The sequence below is a fragment of the Homo sapiens genome, chromosome 3 (genome assembly GCF_000001405.40).
Source record: "Homo sapiens chromosome 3, GRCh38.p14 Primary Assembly".
Classification (NCBI taxonomy): Eukaryota; Metazoa; Chordata; class Mammalia; order Primates; family Hominidae; genus Homo; species Homo sapiens.
In genome coordinates, this window is record NC_000003.12 from 30768504 (window position 1) to 30788520 (window position 20017).

General features: G+C 38.1%; 1 protein-coding gene across 3 annotated transcripts in view; it reads right to left on the reverse strand.

Annotated features, from left to right (window-relative positions):
• The window catches only part of GADL1 (glutamate decarboxylase like 1), a 168465-nt gene that overhangs the window by 42307 nt on the left and 106141 nt on the right, over nt 1-20017 (reverse strand). For 2 of the 3 annotated variants that reach the window (NM_207359.3, XM_017006297.2), the window contains exons 13-14: nt 17852-17903; nt 9676-9765 (exon numbers count right to left, since the gene is read on the reverse strand). In NM_207359.3, the coding sequence (NP_997242.2) occupies nt 9676-9765; nt 17852-17903 (142 nt within the window). Of the gene's footprint in view, nt 1-9675; nt 9766-14407; nt 14704-17851; nt 17904-20017 lie in introns of those variants that run through there. The other variant, XM_047448071.1, reaches the window with a different exon arrangement.

The window sequence follows — 20017 nt, forward strand, 5'->3', positions numbered from 1 at the left end:
CAAGATATTAGAGGAAATAAGAATGAAATTTTGAGAAGGAGAAGAGGGGGAGAGAGAAGGGGTGGGGAGGGGGAGGAGAGGCGGAGAAGGAAGAGTGGCGAGACTGGAGGTGCAAAGACCTCTGAGGCACAAAGAAGCCTCAAAGGCAAATGTGGAAAAGTTTGCTTTGGAGAAGGGATGTGACTTCCTCTGAGATAAAGATGAAGAAAGAAACATTTGAAGTGAAGAGAAGGAACAATTTGATCTCTGAGAATTTGACTTAGGTGAGTCTTTCTTGGTCTGGCAGAACCGGATACCCTGACACCTGTGATGCTGTAACTCTATAACATTTTCACAGCATTTGTTCACTCCGCATTTAGTGTGTCATTTTCCAGCTGTGAACGAAAACATGAGCAAAAGTGCCACCAGGGGGCAGGCTGGGCACTGGCAAAAGCACTTCAAAGAGACCATGGAAAAAGTCTTTTCCTTTCAGCCCAGGGGTCTATTCTTTGTTTTTGCAACAACAAACTGCATCAAGTCCAGAGCATTTTCCTTAATGGTTGTGTTGTGGGTATGGATTTTGCTCCATGAACTCAAGTGTGCAAGAAATGTCACAGTACTGTACTTTATTTTCTCTAAATAAAATTAAATTCAACTGCAAGCCACCATCCTAGGCAAGGCTGAAAGTCACTCAGTCATTATTACAGCTCCCACAGCCCCAAAGCATTCTGTAGAGATGAGGATCTTATTCAGTGCTCGTATTTAGGTCATCGGTCCATCCAGCGACTAGTGAAATACTTATGACCTGAACCAACATGATGTCTTGGTACATGGTGACAGTGCTGTATCCTTATCTGTTAGGATAGGGGCAGAAGTTCCAATGTCTGGAACGTATGCACACACGCACACACACACACCCAGATACCTCCTTAGGTTACGCAAAGAGGGAAGCTGAGGATGATTCCTATCTGTAGAAATTGTCTCCTGTACCCTCTTCTGGCTTGAGGGAAATTCCTCCTGCTTCCCCCCTGTGCCTGCCTCTTTGTCTCCTCTATGGTCTAATCATGGGCCAGCTTAGGCTACAAAGAACATCTAGGAAGATAGACATCTTCAGAACACACAAACTTCAGGAGAGGCATTGAAGCCCAGAGGCCCCATCTAGTTCTTGGAATCCGGAAAGGAGAAAACACAAGATCAAAATGCACCCACACCCATATGTCTAAACTGTGTTGCCACATTTGCCACAAGGTCACCGTCCTTAAAACACCCACTACTTGACAGATCTGACAGTATGAGACCGTTATCTTCTAGTAGATGAGAGAGCTCAAGCATCCCTCAGTCGATAGTGGGCCAATCCCAGAACTGCTGCCATGGAGGAGCAAAGATGAAGGGACAAACTCTCATCTCAAGGAGCTTCCAGTGACACACAGGTAATCAAGGACTGACGAATTTAGGTAAGATATTACACATTTCTAAATCACTTACCAATATTGAAAACATTAAAAACAAAGGGTTCACGTAATCATCTGTGTATTATCTAGCTTCTCTTAAAAATAAGACCCGGCAACCCTGGCCTGCATTCCTGCATGGCAGTCATGATTAGGAGCTGAGTAGAGGTTGTTCCCTTTAGCTGGGACCAATATACTTCAGTGTATCACAGTCCCCATCACTCCCTACTATGTTATGCTCAGGCTCCTCTCATTTATGCTACTTGTCTAGCTTCTATACGTACTTGGGTTTGCAACTCGACTGAGTAAACCAAATAAAATCAGAGACACAGTGGTAAGTGGCCTATAAGCATTAATTAAGCTTCTGCCTTTCCTCGATGTTCACTCTGATATACTTGGGAATTCAGAATTATTTCACGTAGACCTTACACGAACAGACGCTAAAGAAACAGACTTAAATGATAAACTTGGCTCATGTGCAAATGTTACACAGAAAGCCAGTGGCACTCCGTACAGAGAATAGTATACTCATGCCTCATGTATGTGTGCAGAACAATAGATGTTCATGAAATGCAGATTTAGCTGTGTTCCTTGGCCTCATCTCCCATGACTGTCATCGAGGGTGCCCAGTGGATCAGTAGGTCACAAGTGAACAAGTGTTTACTGTTAGCTGTGGGTGGCCACTCCCACAAAAATTCCTGAGAACTGGTCTCATCCTAACCTCAGGCCCATGAGCTCAGAGAACTGGTCTCATCCTGACCTCAGGCCCGTGAGCTCAGCCTCAGCCTGCAGAAATGCCAGCTTCATTCTTTATTTTAATTTTCAAGAGATAGGCTAAACTCAGAACTTATGCCACAATAAATTAGAACAATCCAACAGAAACAAGAGAAGAGAGGCTGTTAAGCTCAAGGAAAGAAAAAAAAATTTATAATGAGGACATCTGTACTTATCTGGCTTTTCTGGAGAGTTCAAGTTACTATCCACAAAACACATCTATGAAAATGTTTAGACCACAAAACAATATATTAATCAGCAAATAAGCAAAGTAATAACAAATTTTATGCGTTGAAAGATGCTATTAAATACAAAGGAAAACTCATCATGAACTTCCCGTTAAACATGCGCATACAACAAGAATTTTATTGGAACTTTTTGTTGGTTGGAATTGTATAAATCCAGTGGAGTATATTTAGAAAGACAATAATTAACTAGAAAAGAGATTGAGCATAAAAGCGAGAAAAGCACTGAGTATTCCCTGCCCTTCAGCTGAAGGAACACTCCAGCTTCTTCAGCTGATTGCTGAAGCTGGCCATAATTATCAGAAGTACCTAAGTGGCTTCTTGACCCTTAGTTGCAGAATGGCATAAGAACAAAACTGATAACCATTAGAATGCATGACAAATTGTACATAATATCTCTACCTGACAGAATACTTAAAACAACATTTTATCTTAGGTTTTAATGGTTTGGGGAAAGAGCATACGGTATCTACAAAATTCAGGACATTCATTAGTTAAGCATTCTTGAAATCTACAATGCCAGCCACTATCCAAGTAAGGGGAGCCTCTTAAGTCACATTTAGAGCTATTTTCTTTAAAAGGCACTTTGATATTAGACTCTTTAAACATAAATTTTAAAGTACAGCTTGAAAGCGAGTGATAACTACTAGGAAACAGGATTTTTGAAGGATATACTATAAATTCTGTAGCATAAGGTTTAAAAAAGAACCTCATCTTTGAACATTTTTTAAAGTGCTGCACCTTTAAAGACACAGGTGCTTTTAGTTCACAGTCCAAAAATGAGTGACTGAATATACTAATGTCAAAGACAATGACAAAATCAGAGTTCTGAAAAATACACAGCTTTCAATTAATTTGTGAACATGTGTGCATGTGTGTATGCATATCTACAAGTCCCTAAGAGATCAGGAGACGTTATACACAGGATTGCTGTTATTTCTAGCCGCTCCTAAGTCCAGATATTAGACATGCAAAAAGACATTCAGGAAATAAATGGGGCAAGGAAAGAGATACTGAAGCCCTCCCTAAAATCCAAAGCAGCAGCCTGTGTAGATGTCTTCACTGTGAGGTTTCCACGGAAGCACATCACCCTACTCAGATTATGCAGTCTCATCTTCAAGTGCCGTTAATCAGAAACCTGCCAGGGAGAATACTAAACTCTTTCTAAAGATATCTGGAATATCATCAAGTTTTATCACCAAACAATAAAACAAACCCGTCAAGTAGATTTTAAGATTTATTTCTCCTCTACTATTAAGGAGAAAGGAGCCTGTTATAAATGACTAACATTAGTCACAAATCTGCAGGTCAGCAAATGGAAAAAATTGAAATAACCATACATGAATACGAAAAGACAGCTTGTTAATTACTTTTAAGAACGTAAATTGTGTTGGCATAGTGTACTTATTTATGAAATATTGACAAAATAAGAAATATTCTACATCAGAATACTGAGTAATGATGGGGCAAAACAAACTAGTGGAATTTTCAATTACATTCTCTGGGGTCTAACATTTCCCATCTTATCTTTGCATTCTATCCTCAACTTTCTCATCCTCAATATCTGACCACTATAAGGCAGCTTCAGAAGAAGCAAAGATACAAACTTATTTCAGGAAGTTACTTTAGAAAGCAAAGTGTATAGGGCTGGGTGCGGTGGCTCATGTCTGTAATCCAAGCACTTTGGGGGGCTGAGGTGGGTGAATCATGAGGTCAGGAGTTTGAGACCAGCCTGGCCAACATGGTGAAACCCCATCTCTACTAAAAATACAAAACATTATCAGGGCATAGTGGTGAGCAGCTGTAATCCCAGCAACTTGGGAGGCTGAGGCAGGAGAATCGGTTGAACCCAGGAGGTGGAGGTTGCAGTGAGCCAAGATTGTGCCACTGCACTCCAGCCCAGGTGACAGAGTGAGACTCTGTCTTAACAAAACAAAAGCGAAGTGTAACTCTACCACAATGCCCGAAGCTTTCAGGGAAACCTAGGAAGCCTATTGAAGATCACTAGGAACCACCACTAGCAATGCGTCTAAACTTAAAACCAATGCAGATACTGTGTGTTAGGAAGGAGGGGAGAGATAGGGAGGAATGACATATTGGACACAATACCTGGGAACACATCATGAGAAAATAGTTTGCAAACTAATTAATTATTGTATAATCATGATCCTTAGAGTGGTACAATAAGAAAAGATTAAAACATTTTAATATTTAAAACCTTAAAATTCATCCTTATAAAAACTTTGTTGTTAAATCTACATGCTATATTTCTAAGGTAATACATGTAGATAATTTTTAAATGGTAAAAACGTACCATATTGGGATTAATGCTTATTTTTTTCTGGCCCTTGGGGGAATACATGGTTAAAACCTGGATAACTTTTTGTCTAGATAAAGCACTCAAGGAAATCTGGCTTCATTGGATCAATTACTCCACTAAGGTATCTTTTTAATGTTATCTTATTTTCACAAACATACATTATAGAAAATTTTCAAATTGCAGAGAAATATAAAAGAAATCGCCTGCAACTTTATCTCTAAAAATATTTTGGCACCTCTTATGCACCCTTAAAACATAGTATTTTACATGTACTTAAGTATACTTAAGCATAAAATTTCGATATTAATATACTACAGTGGCTGTTTTAAACCCCTTTTTAATATGAATTATTTTGAAACACAATCTTGTCTGGACACTACAAATTTGTTTATAAGTTATGTACTAAAATTTAGCCAGCTCTTTATAGTTGAATAGTTTCTTCTGAAATATTTGCTATTTTAAAATAATGCCTATGAATGTCTTAGTAGCTTCTCCTCCATATTTCTATAACTTAATACATTTTTAGAAAAGGAATTGCTGAAAGATAAGATATTTGATATGTTTTATAATGTTGCTTTTCAGAAAAATGGTACAAAATTTACCCATGAATAGCTTACAGGAATCTCCTGACGCTCACCAACAGTAGACATCAACATTAAAAACTACAGTGATTTGTCAATTTGATTAGTGAAAGATATCCAGTACCCAATTTCCAGTGTTTCCTAACTCCTCTGGCCCAATTTACTCAGACATGGAGAGCTTTGGATGCCAAAGAGACAAGATTCGATTGGTAAGATATGGTAAGATTTTATCCTGTGAGACAGTGGTTCTCAAGGAAATGGTACAACATTCCTAGGGAATACCTAGGAAATTTGGGTAAATGTTTCAGATTTTCATGATTTTGAGAGGGTTGCTACTGGCATTTAGTAGGTGGAAACCAGAGGTGTCAGCTGCCCTGCACTGTGTAGAGCAATCTTGAGTGACATTGAACTGTGTCCCATGTTTTACACAACTTTCAAATGTCCTAGTAGAAATGTATGAGGTAAGAAGCTTGGTTATAATTATTCAAGCGCAGAACCTAACTGTTTAACATACCAATGCCAAATATTTTGTGGCCATTTTTAATAGTTTTCTACTACCATGTAAAGCAAGGGAAAAATGATTTCTTCAGAGTATTCGCAAAAGTTCATAATTTTTGAAAAGTATATCATTAATACCACACTGTTGCTGTTTTCATCACTAACATCACCTACTTATAATAGTCTGCATTCATAGACTACATTCACTGTGTTTCTAAGAGTATATGCAAGAATCTTATCACTTCCTTATGTATTCCAATACTGTCATGCTCAAGTATTTATATAATAAAACTTTTCTTATAAACTTTCTCTTTCATATTGTATATAAAGTCTTATGTTGCCTTTTACAAAACTGTATAGGGAGGTCATGTATTTCATTGGTTTCATTTTAGGAGAGTAAAGGGTATATTATTCTCCTAAATATTATATTTACTATAAATAGTGGTCATTGACTCTGACCGGGTTGAGAACTGTTGCTATATGGGACTAGGGAACAGGAAGCAAGTCAGAGACTTCCAGCAGAAGAGTGACATGAAGAAGCAGAGACGGAGGTAAAGAGGGGCTTGACGGTAAAGAAAATAAACTGGAAAAGGAGATGGCAGGAGGCAGAGAGACCAGAAAAGAGACAAATACAATCTAGGTAGGGAAGTAATGAAGACCTAAGATATCATAATGAGTGAGAGTCAGAGGAGGATTTTACGGAGGGCGTCTTGAAAAAGTGAAGTCGTTGGAACTCAGGCATCCAGTATCACAGTGTCATTGCATTGTTAGGCTACAGTGATTGTGTTCTCAAATAGTCTCACGTACGTGCACATACTTGCAAGCATACATATGCGCTCATACCCTTCAACTCTCCAGATTCATTACCAAATAATCCCTCTCCCCTTCTGCCGCCAAATGGAAGATTTATCGCACCAGCGATTCTGAAATGTGACAGCTCAACCTGACGTTAGTCTGAATCAGAGGGGCAAAGCCTTATTTGATTTGTGATTCTCTATCCAAGATAAACCCTGAAATAAATTTCAAGTGTGCTTTAAGTACACTACAGGTTATAAATCATATACTTGTATTCTCATTCTACAGTAAGCATAAAACCTCATAAACTATGTGATATATAATCTCCCTTCCCCCTTGCCAAATTCATGCACACTTCCTGACTTGCAGGGAGAGAATGATAGGAAATTAAGAAACTCAGAACCAGTGATAATTTGTCTGCAGCATGCATTTTTTCTATTCAGTAGCAACTATAACAAATGAAGTTGTTACTAGATCAGGCAAGGGGAAACCATGGTTGTAAATGGCAGAAAAGCATTTCCAAAATTAAGGGATGGAGAGTCCAAGATGGCTGACAGTAAAAAAAATAAACTGGATATTTACTGTATGATCATCCATTTTGGCAAATATTGGGGATAAGAGAATGTCCCAATTCCTGTTCAATTCCCAATTAAGATAAAAAGTGCACTACAGGCTGGGTGCGGTGGCTCACGCCTGTAATCCCAACAATTTGGGAGGCCGAGGCAGGTGGATCACCTGAGGTCAAAGCCTGGCCAACATGGTGAAACCCCATCTCGACAAAAATACAAAAATTCAGCTAAGCATGATGGTGGGTGCCTGTGATCACAGCTACTCGGGAGACTAGGGATGTGGGAATCGCTTGAACCCGAGAGGCGGAGGTTGCAGTGAGCAGAGATCGTGCCATTGCACCCCAGCCTGGGCGACAGCAAGACTCCGTCTTGGAAAAAAAAAATGCATTATATTCTGTATTTGAGATTAGCTTATATATCCATACTCAATTTCAATTTCTCTAAAAACAAACATGAGTCTGTCTAGTTATTCTAATCCCTGTCAGTCCAACAGTACTGAGTTAGACACAAATATCACATTCTTCATTGTTTTTCGTAAACAATTTCTAGCTTAGTGAGAAAAATGGTGACCCTATCTTTCTCAACTTGTAATTTCTTTCTCTACCCTACTAAAAAATGTCAGCCACATCCCATCATAGTGAAAAAATGTTCCTCTAAACTTCACCACTAAATTCTCACATTGTCCAGTTCCTGTTTCTCTTTATGGGTTACTTAACATCTGAAATGTATTCTTAAGCACTTTGCTATTTTGTGTGTGACAAATACAAGACAAATCCCCAAAGTCTATGCTACCTGCCTGAAATGGATAAGGGCACAGATATAACACCATCCATCTCTCCACATCTTTGCTCCCTGAGAGGGTTTGATAAGAGGTGTATTCTGTATTGGTCATCTATTATGTTACAGGTTAGGAGGTTTGAGCCATGAATAAACAGAAAATGACCTGAAGCTAAAAGGACACGCTGCCAAGTGAGGCAATCAGTGACCATGACTTAAAGGCTATGTTCTGCCCTCTTCCTTCTAGTTAGACTGGGGCAAAAATCCCAAGCTTTCTGCCGTGGAAGGCAAGGCTCCCATGACCCTCCCTCTGCCTGTTACTCTTCTCACCTCCCATCACTGCTTCTTTGCACCCCTGTGGTCTTTGAATCACATTCTCCCCTCTTGAGCCTCTGAGTTCTCATGCTGTGATTCTTCCTGGAATCTGCTTCTTTAAAATTGTCCCCTGACTGACATCTGCTTATTGTTAAAAACTCAGCTCTAGTATCACACATTGGGGTAGATACCCTTTCTCTCTACTTTCACTGCAAACAGTTAATCTCCATTCAGGTACTTCTTGGTTACCTTGTGATTGTCTCTTTACTCATTGTCTCTAGGAATATTGAGTTTCTCAAGGGCAGAGACACGTCCTTTTGATGTTTGTATTTCCAGTGCATAGTATAGTGGACACTCAGCAAATGTTTGTTGCTTACCTGAGTAGGGAGTCTTTTGTTTTTTGTCTTCTAAGGGGAAAATAGGCTATGGACAATGAAAATTGCTTTTAAAAAAAAAACGTTTTCCCCCTGAGGGTAAGGAGAGGGGTTTGCAAGTCAGAGCTTTTACTAACCAGGGTCATAAAGTCAGCTGTGCTGACTTGATCCCACTCAAGAGGTAGGGAATTGCCTGATTTTAATGGTGCTAGCCCATAAGAACTTGGACTCTACATGTCATGGCCACATAATCCCCAGTGAAACTCCCATGGGTTCACTTTCAGTATGCATTATGTTCATGCATCCAGAAAGTGGGATCAAGTAGTGTTACTCACGAGACTCCATAGTGCTTGGAAATCTGGATTAGAGGCAGGATTATAACTGGCAGGGCCATGCTAGGCGAGGAGTAGATGAGACACAAGCAGTCCCTGGAGCCTGGGGCCTCTCCTCACACGGTATCATCAGCCCCAACAGCTGTGTGTGAAGACACTTCCAAGCACATTTTGTTCGATGATCAGCTGAAACCCACTGCTTAGCATCTCTTTTCTTTTATGTAATCCCCTTGGGTGTAAGACATAGGGCCTTTGTTGAAGACAGTCTCACGCTTACAAAAAGTATCAGATTTAGACTTCTAACATTATTTCCAAGTAAGGTGGTACAACAGTCAGAGATGCAGTAGCAGAGTTGAAATAAATAGTCATTCATCACACAACTTTAACCTTGTGTCCCATGACCAGATGTCACTTCCTGAAGTACACTGTGAGCCAGAACTTCTACCTTACAGACAACCTAATTGTTTTGGGTGTGTGTCAACCATGTTAATTTGTTAAATGTAAACAATGTCTACAACTGTTTGGCCTGTCATTACTTTTTAACAAACTAGAAGACACTTCTCTAGATAATTCTGTGCTTGCTAGGCCCTCTTATTTATAGGATCAACAGATAATGTACACTGAATCTACTTCATCAAAAAGAAAAATACCATTTACTTATTACTTACCAAATTAAGTTTTGCCCAGAACTCGGGTCCTTCTTCCATCTCTCTGAGGCTCGGTGGAATGTACCAAAAGCAAATATTGGCATATTCAGGCTGAGAATTAGAAAAAATATAAAGTTGTTATCTTAAGATTTATCTTAGAATGCAATGAAATACTTTTAAAACTCTTAGCTAGTTTCTTCAAGAGTTATCATGTGTATAAAATTTTAACATCAGAATCTTATAGAGTAACAATCCCTTCTGCCTTCTTGATAACATCCTATTTAAAAATTTTCTACTCCATAGCGTGCACCTAGCAGGTTCTCTTTCATCTTAAATGTGCAAAGATCAGGAAAAAACAGTAAAGTTTGAAGCTGACTCAACCCAGCTCTGATCGTCAGTTAGTGCCTGCTTACATACATGCTCAGAGATGCCCTGGATCCTCTCTCTCCAACACTGATCCTTAAGTTATTTGCTATACCATCATAGGCTTCCAATAATTCTTCTTAAGGCAGCCAAAGTTGGCCCCTACACCTGGCAAATGCAAAAGCTTTGATTACCTGTGAGATGATAACAGCGTGACCTGCTTGGGCTTCACTAACCAGCACTACTATGACCCTAGCCAATACTGCTTTTGAAAAAAGAACATCACCTTGACTCCCGGCTCTCGAATATCAGTAAAAGTGCGAATTAGCTAGGGGACCTATTCAAAATGTAGATTCTCATAGGAACTCAGGTTCCTATGTTCAAAATGTCCAATGTCTAAGTCCATCCTAGAAAAGGCTAAAGAATTGGCATTTTATGAAGCATGTCAAGTGATTCTGAAGCGGGCAGTTTATGTTCTATCAGAAACTCTCATCTACACTAAGTAATCATAACCCAGTTATCTTCCCTGCCAGTCTGTTTTTCTATCAGACATGACTTGCTTAAACATGGGACTGTATTGTAACAGGCTTTAGCCCAGCCTTTGTCACGCAGACAAGGCTTTGTCCTCACTGGACAAAAACATAGGAAATGCGATGACTACTCAATGACTAGGAGATCTGGGACATTATGTTGGGGGTTCACAAATTAGACATATAGAATTGTATTCAGGAAAGATTGTGTCATATGCATCTTCCTCATTTGATGCTTCACACTGACAATATTTGAACTGATTTTCATTTTCTGCCATAAACAGTTTGTAATAACCAATGTTGCAACAGTTCTCAATAACTGTCAGAATTATGCTCCAGTATATAAAGTTTCAAAGCATTTCATCAAGAGGAAAGACCCATCATCTCATATCTTAATAAAAAGTAGTTTAAAATGAAACACTGTAATTCAACTCAATTTTCACAAACATCTATTGAGACTACAGTCATTCTTACAAATCTACACAATTTATACCTGGATCTCTGAAGTATTGAAAGTAATGGCAAAAACCACAATGACTTTTGCAGCAACCTAATATAATAGATTTATCTAGGATAGACTGTACTGAACTCCCAAATTCTTTGAGCATTTAATGTGAACACATTTTTCAAATGAAGTAACTATACCTGACTAGAAAGTAGAAGAAAAATATAGTAATTATCTGTCACTAGATTGTGTTATGTCAGTTATCAATTTATTGCCTCTCAGCCAGAAATCTACCCTTTTTGAGTGTCCTAAAATAATGTAGGTGGACTCTGCAGATATTTCTCCCATGACATGTGGTCCAATCTTAGACTTTGTCAGCAGAGGGTGCTGGAGAGACACTGGAGAAGGAAGGAATGCTTTCCTGGTGTGGTGTGCTCACTTTCATGGGTCTCCTACAGAATCTGTGGTTCATTTCAGCAGTACTGGTGACCAGAAACATAAGTACACCCCCACCCATCTACCCCAGTAGCTTCCCCCAGTACACCCCTTTCAGGTGGCATCACGTGGCATCACAGCAGACAGGCAGCAAGTGGAGAGCCCATAAATGGCTTTTCCTGGCATACTCCCCTCAGGTGGTTTCAAAGGAGAGAGATGCCAGCTAGGCACCTTGCCTTGGATGACTTCTCTGGCACTCCTTCTAGGTAGCTTGCAGTGATTTCCAAGTTGTGGCATGGCCCCTGTAGATGGCTTCCCTCAGCTCAGCACTCCAGACTAGATTTCTAGTGAGTACCACCAATGTAACATCTCAGTAAACTTTTCTGCTATCCCATGAGCCAAGGTCATACTCTCTCTGAAGAGGTCTAGACCTCAGTCCTGGGAAGGGATGGACTCTCCCTTGGGCGCTCTATCTCAGTGCCAGGTGTGGTGGCTGCTCTCTATATCAGCTACTCCTGTTCATTTTTAGGTTTTTCATTCTCTATGAGGCAATCCTCCATTACTCCAATCCCTTGCTAATAATTATTGATATTACACTTTCCCACTTTACCATGCAGTTCTTGTCTTCTGAGTGGACTCTAATATGTCACCAAATTTGTTATTCCCTTTCATTTGCATAGGAACATTACAAAACAGTTTACGATGTTTTATCTATTATGGGTTCTATATTTTACAAGTTAGGACTTAGATCTGATTCCTTTTGCCCAAACAGAAACTTACTAAAAAATGCAAAAGGTCTATCACTAAGCACTTTTAGAATGGAATGGCTTCAGTGCTACAACATTTGAAAGCTTATAAAGCCCTTCTGACACTTCACTTCATTGGAAGAAATTTGATGTTTCATTTGGAATATCTTTGCTTTGGTCATTTCCAAAATTAAGAGTTGAAAAAGTCTTTGAATTTTTGCAAAAATATATTTGACTTTTTCCTGTCTCTGCCTCTGTAGCTTGTATTTTACATAATTCTTAAAGAGACTTCAAAGCACTAATGAGTATTTTCAGAGTAAATCATTTGTATACCCCTTAATTTTAATTGCCTACATATGTGAAAGTCTGACTTCTTGGGTGTCCTGAGAACACATTTAGTCTATGTTCTAAAATCCACAAAATTAGGAAGGTATTTACAGGAGTCCAAGTATCTAGTGAAGGGTACAAAAACTCTGGAGCAGCAAGTGCATTGTCATAATCTTTAAAAAATTCATGATAAAGGAGTAATGTGCCATTAAAGAATGAATACATTCTATACCGGTTTTCAAACAAAAAACATTCTAAAGTTCTTTATCAATTTCAGGAAGAATTATTTAGCAAATTTTGAGACCATTTGGGAAAGAAATTAGTGGTCACTAAGGTAGCAGCTCACGTTCTCTAAAACTGAGTTATGTCAAAAGAAATTCATCTCCTTTGCTTTACAATGTCATTAGATCAGAATAATAGGTAACAAAAGCTAAAGCTAGCACTATTCTGTTTTAATAAATGTAAATGCAGAATCCAGCACACAGATTCAAACAATCATGCAAATATAGAGTGAAGGAAAAGCTGGAATGGTGAATTTTAATTGACTTCAAGCTTATAGGTGTTAAGATTAGACTATTGAAAAATTTCAAAGGCAGCACTGGATAGCAAAAAAGCCTAAGTTTTGGAGTTGCAAGGATGTGGCTTTGAATTTCAACTTCATCAGATCTTTGGGATGAGTATCAAACTTTCTGTTTCTGCTTCCTAAACTATAAAATGTAGATGATGTCTGCCCCACAGGGTTGGTTTGATGATTAAAGAGAAAACGTGTTTTCAAAATTTAGTACCGTGTCTGGCACACAGCAAGCACTGGTCAGTTAGTGACTATTATTTGGGGCCATAATGGCAAAAAGAGATGTCTTTTAAAGTGGATGAGTAGCTCCATTAAAATGTGCACTAGTGAGGTACATCACTATGTTAATTTCTTGGTACTATATTTGAAGGGAAACATTAAGAAATAATGTCCAGCGAGGGGTAACCAAGCTGTTCAAATTAATAAGCAAAGCTTTCTATGTTATAGATATTGACTAGGCATCAGGACAAGAAAATGACACTTTCTGAACTTGGAATGAATAGAGGACAGGGTGTACTGAAGAGAGGTGAAGCTAGAAACGAAGATGGGAGTCATGTCATGAAGGACTTCTCGTATGATGTACTTGGAAGCTTGGGCTTGATTCTAGAGGAACATGGAGTCACTGGAGAGTTTCACTATAGGAAATAGATCTCATCTTTGAAAAGCTGCTCTAGCAGCAGTGTGGCAGTTAGGCTGGAGGGATCTAAGACTGGAAGTGGGACACAAGTTAGCAGACAGTACCTAGATAGTACCAACCTGAAGAGTGATGAGATCTTGAACTAAGGCAGTGGCTTTGGGAGTGGAGAAGACTAAGCATTCAAGATATACTTAGCGGGGAAGAAAAGGAGATAGTAAAAACATCAAGATTTTTGGTTAGTGGATCATAGTTCTAATGACCAAAAGAAGAAAGTAGAATTTTGGTAAGGAAAATACTACACTTAAGTTTTTAGAAATGTTGAATTTGAGGTGTCTGTGGCATCTAGGTGAAAATTTCAGGAAATATTCATATACAAAGGCCTGGAGTTTAGGAGCTAAGTTGAGGATGAAGACATACAAAGAGGCTATTGATAACAAAGTTCTGAATGTGAAGACATTTCAGGGAGACTGTGGCCAAAGACAAAGTGTTAGAAGAATATTTAAGGGAGTGCCCTGATGAAAAGTCCCTTACATGGAGACTGAAAAGAACAAGTCACATGGAAAAGAGAAATTGGGAAAGGAAATCAAAGAAACTAAGACAGGGGAGACTATCAAGAGATGGAGTGATGAATGGGTAACATACAATGCTACAGAATTTCAGCAAGATGAAGATTAAAATAATGTGCTTTGGATTTAGCAATTAGGAGGTAGTTATATAGTTTTATTAGATTACAAGATAACAATGTAAGAAAAATCACAATGTGCTTGATACATATTAGTAGGTTCACTATTAGAACATGAATAATTAGAGCTATCTGGAAGAGGAATGAACTAGTGAATTCTCTGCAAATAGGAAGTATTCAATCACAGGTTGACCACCTGTTAACAGATACATTAAGACAGGTTTGCTGCATTGTGCAGGAAGTTGACTATATGTCCTCGAAGATCTTCTATAACTCAGTTGATGAAACATTAATAACTCCTCCTAGTGTAGACCTTGAGAAAAGAAAAAGTTGAATAATTAGGACTCTCCCAAGAGATAAAAAATAAAATATGTGAATTGACAGTGTAAGAATGAATATACCTCTAGGAAAACATCTATTAGATCTTAGATCCAACACAGAAAAATAGAGATGATTTTCAGGGGCCTATGAATAATTCAGAATTCACTTAAAATAATACATTTCTTGAAGATGATTGAAAGTTATTTTTATTCTTTCCAGGAAAAAATACTCAAGTACTGGGTATTGTCTTGTTATGTTCACTTACAATTTCCAATGTTCCACTTTCTCCTTGCTGTTAGACAACAGTGACACATACTCTCTCAAATACATGTACATATACATATATAGACATACAAATGCATATAAGCAAAAAGACTATCAACTTTATATGTGACATTCAGGGTCTAATTCTGCTTTATTCTCAGTGTAATAAAAAGAAAAGCGGCAAATGCAGATCACATACAAAAATCCTTACACCAGGAATTCTGGAAAACCATTTAGAAAACCACCTGCACTGCTTGTGGGCCAGCTGGCTCCCACAGATGAAAAAATCCAGGGGCAGAAGGCTGACTAAAATCCCACCTTAGCTTTCATTGCAAGGACATGAGTGTTTGCAATTTCCTAATGACGATGGTAAGTGGTTTTTCTTTTCTAAGACTTTAGGAAGAATATATAAAGAACTTTTTAATCGGCCCATCTTTTTTCTCATCACTTCCAGCTCTGTCAAAAGACTGTACAGTTTCAAGGTGTATAGGACTTTTCATAAGCACTATAGCTCCCAACACCAGAGAAAATAACACAACTCAAATTGAGAAAATAGAGGAAACTCAAACCCGAGAAAATATAAAGTGATCAAACTCAATTCAAATAGGACTGCTGTTTCTCCCATACATGCTTAGCTATCCACCACTAAAAACTATAGACATTTTCTTACATGTTTATAATGCCATTATGCCTCACAAAATTGACAATTCCTTGACACCATCTAATAGCCAGTTCATATTCAAAACTCCCCAACTGTTACAAGAATTACTTTTTACAGTTGGCTTGTTCAAACTGGGATTTCAACAAGGTCCATATGCCTTATTTGGTTATGCCTCTTCGGTCTCTTTGAACCTAAAGAGATTATCACTACTCCCTCTGTTTTCCTCACATCACCGGCCTGTTGAAAGAAACCAGGTTGTTCTGCAGAACTTCTCGCACTCTAAATTTGTTGTCTTTATAGTACTACCAGAAAGTTGTTTAATTTTTAATCATTTTGGTATGCATGCAAGATCTTCCATATGTCTAGCTTTCTAGCACTTTGGAAGCTTAGAACTTTCTAGTCTGATGCTTCCTTTGTAGATACTAGGGGAATCCATGCTCTAGATTCTCTGGAAAGTATTTCCCAAACTTCCCTGAGGACTATTGTCATATTTCACTTTGGCTACTAAAAACAGTTTCCAAGTTTGTCTTGCTTATTTTTCTCTTGTCCTCTTCACTATTGCTTTTTCAACATTCCTCTCTTCTCATGACATCAAGAATAATCTTTTAACATGCAAGTCAGACTCCTGTCTTCTTAAAACATCTCCAGTGACTACATTCGGGATACAGGCTAAAGGCCTCACCTTGACTTACCTGACCACCACCTGCTCTGGTCTCTGCCCACCTCTGCAATTCCATCACCTGCTGCACACTCCCCTTCATTCAATACAACTTTTTTTGGCTGCTCAAAGACAGAACTCTCTTCAGCTTTAAGCCTTGCAGTTGTTTACCAATTCTGCCAGAATATCTGTCCCTCAAACATCCGCATGGCTTGCTGTTTATCTTTATTCAGGTCTCAGCTCAAAGATAACCTTAAAATCCCCTACCCAGATTACTCAAACCAAATAAGCCGTCCCCATTTCAGCATTCTACACTTTTCCCCCCAGTACAGTACTATATCTATAACCTGTCTAATTATTTGTATACTAGATTATCTCATGAACATGTTTTATTGTTTTAAGACTACCTGATTTCCCTGTTAATTAATTTGCTTAATTAGTGCCTTTCAGTTTCCACTTGAATGTAAACATGAAATTGGGGGACCTTTTCTGTTTTCTATCTCCTGTGCCTAGAACCATGCATGACATAGTAATTGTTCAATGCATCTTATTGAATAAATACCAAAAAAGCTAGATTTCTTTTTCTTTTTTTTTTTTTCCCCCCGAGACAGAGTTTCACTCTTGTTGCCCAGGCTGGAGTGCAATGGCGCGATAGCTCACCGCAACCACCGCCTCCCAGGTTTAAGCAATTCTCCTGCCTCAGCCTCCCGAGTAGCTGGGATTACAAGCATGAGCCACCACGCTCGACTAATTTTTGTATTTTTAGTAGAGACAGGGTTTCACCATGTTAGGCTGGTCTCGAACTCCTCACCTTGTGATGCCTGCCTTGGCCTCTCAAAGTGCTGGAATTACAGGCGTGAGCCACTGTGCCTAGCCAGCTACATTTCTTATGTATAGCACAGGTTCCAAGACTGGAATCTCTAGGTTATTTTTACATTAGGTTAAAAACTGCTATAATACATATACTATAACAAAATCTAAGAAGTTTGCAATTTATATTTCTTAAAAACCAGAATTACACATTAAATATTTATATTTTCTAAACATGTTTTAGAAAAAAATATTCTCTACATTTGTAACCACCTAATTTCTTACACATAGCAAACAATCCAACATCAGCAAAATGACTTATTTTCCCATTGCTCCAAAGCTAATATGCTCATTATTTTATAAAAAGAGAAAACTGTATGCAGTACTGTACATTCACTTAATTGATTTTTCACATGCAGGCACCACTACATCACAGATGAATATTTGCAGTACAATCATGCAATTTATATACCAAGATAGAGGTCATAATTTATTCAATATTATCCTTGGTAATTATTATTGAGCATTTTAATTTTCAATACTTAAAGGCAAGTATATTCTGTGAATCCAACAAAGGAAAAGTACTCACTAATAGAGTAAATTAACATAATAGACTATGAATTAAGCTAATGACTTGTTTTTAACTCTGCAACACAAAAACCAATGAAACATATAACAGATAAGAAAATTACCACCTTCATCACTGTTAACTGACAAAATCACAAGCACAATTATGCAATCACTTACTTCCATCAGTAACTTGAATCCTTCTCTTTTCTTGATTTCATCTACTAGGTACCTAAAATTAAAAGTCACAATAATATTTATAATCTGCAATGTAAAAGTGTCATGAACATGACTGATATGACAAAACTGATTCAGACAGGGCTTGGAGATAAGAAAGATACAGATAAAGGTCAAGGAACAGGCAGAGCTATGGATAGATAAATACTCCAGACCTACTGTAATTTCCTTGGCCTGAGTAAAAGGATGCATCTTTTTGATGATGATATCTATCTCACATGTTAGCATCAGGCTTTAACCCTGGTGTGAAAAGCCAGATAAAGCAGGCTGGATATATATCTCTGAACATGTGGGTCTTACATTCATACTGTAAATGGGGGATTTAACCATAGGTACTTACATTAAATAGCTGGCTTGGAGGAAAGAGTTTTTTGTTTTGTTTTGTTTTGTTTTTGGTGTCTAATCCTGCTTGTAAGTTCACTTAAAATCAAGAAAGATCAACATAATCTTTTCTAAGTCCAGCACAGAGAGGAGGACTGATAATCAGTATCATGTTAAAAGTAGGCTGATTATCCTCAGCAAACTAACACAGAAACAGAAAACCAAACACTGCATGTTCTTGCTTATAAGTGGGAGCTGAACAGTGAGAACACATGGACACAGGGAGGGGAGCAACACACACTAGGGCCTGTCAGGGGAGGATGAGGGGAGAGTATTAGGGAAAAGAGCTAATGCATGTGGGGCTTAATACCTGGGTGGTGGGTTAAGTGCAGCCAACCGTGGTACATGTTTACCTAGGTAACCTGCACATCCTGCGCATGTACCCCAAAACTTAAAAAATACAAGAAAAAAAATTACCTGAATATGAGGGGAAAAAAGTGGGCTGTAGCCATTGATATAATATCTATAAAGTCATTTTGAATGTTGGGGGAAAGAGAATTGTCACACCTAAGTAAAGGGCATAGATGAAATATGGAATATGAGTGAGAAAAGACTAAAACAACATTGAGAACATGGTGCCCTATATAATATTGACTCCTCTCTTCTAGGCTTGGCTTTTGTCTGTACCAAAAGAGAAGTCTGAAATGGCTGGCCTTGAAAACTAGTGATTCACGAGCCTTTGAAATATTCACAACACTTGACCCAGTACTTCAAATCTAGGACTCAAACATAAGGAAATAATAGAGACGCTGACAGAAATGTGTTTGTCAGAGCATTTATTGTGATTTTTATATATAATAGCAAAAAATCACACCGAACATCAGGAATGCCTTTGAAAACTAGATTCCAGTAATAGTTATGATCCTATGATCATGTCACTAAATCATAAATATTCAACTAATATTTAAAGACACAACCATGCTCCTCTTGGGCCTCAAGTCTCTTACCTGTAAAACTGGACTAATACAATCTTCTTCAATTTGAAATGGTTTTTTAAAATAATAAACATAAATGCAGACTATAAAAACTGGAAAGGGATTATTACGTCATTTTAGGAAGGCCATTCTATAATGTGAATATGGAATACACTAGTTTTTAAGATGTTCCTTTTTGCAAATTTATACAGCTTTTTATATTAAAATATTGATGTTTGTATATTTCAAAGATATTATCTATATGCAATTGTATTAAAAATTGTCAATATTAACTAGTAATATGGGAATCCTTGAGCGATAACGTGAGCATACACATGGGCACGTATGCTCACAAAGTACCAGATGTTCTACATATGCCATTCTCTGAACACTTTTTCAGAAGACATGTAGCTATAAAGTTTTTAAACCATCTATCACACTGGCTAGCTTTCATAAAAAGCAATTCCATTGCTCAACAGATATCAGAAAAGTTATTCAAAATCAGTAATAATCAAAGAAGTGCAAATTAAAACAATATAGGCATCCCTCGGGGGTATTGTAGGTTTGGTTCCAGAACACTACAATAAAGTGAATGCTGCAGGAAAGTTCCTCAGTGTATATAAAGGTTACATTTACAGTATACTGTAGTCTGAGTTTACAATGGCATTATGTCTAAAACACAATGCACATGCCGTGACTAAAAATACCTTATTGCTAAAAAGCGCTAAGGATTATCTGAGACTTCAGTGAGTTGTAATCTTTTTGCTGCTGGAGGGTCTTGCCTTGATGTTGGTTGCTGACTGATCAAAAGGCT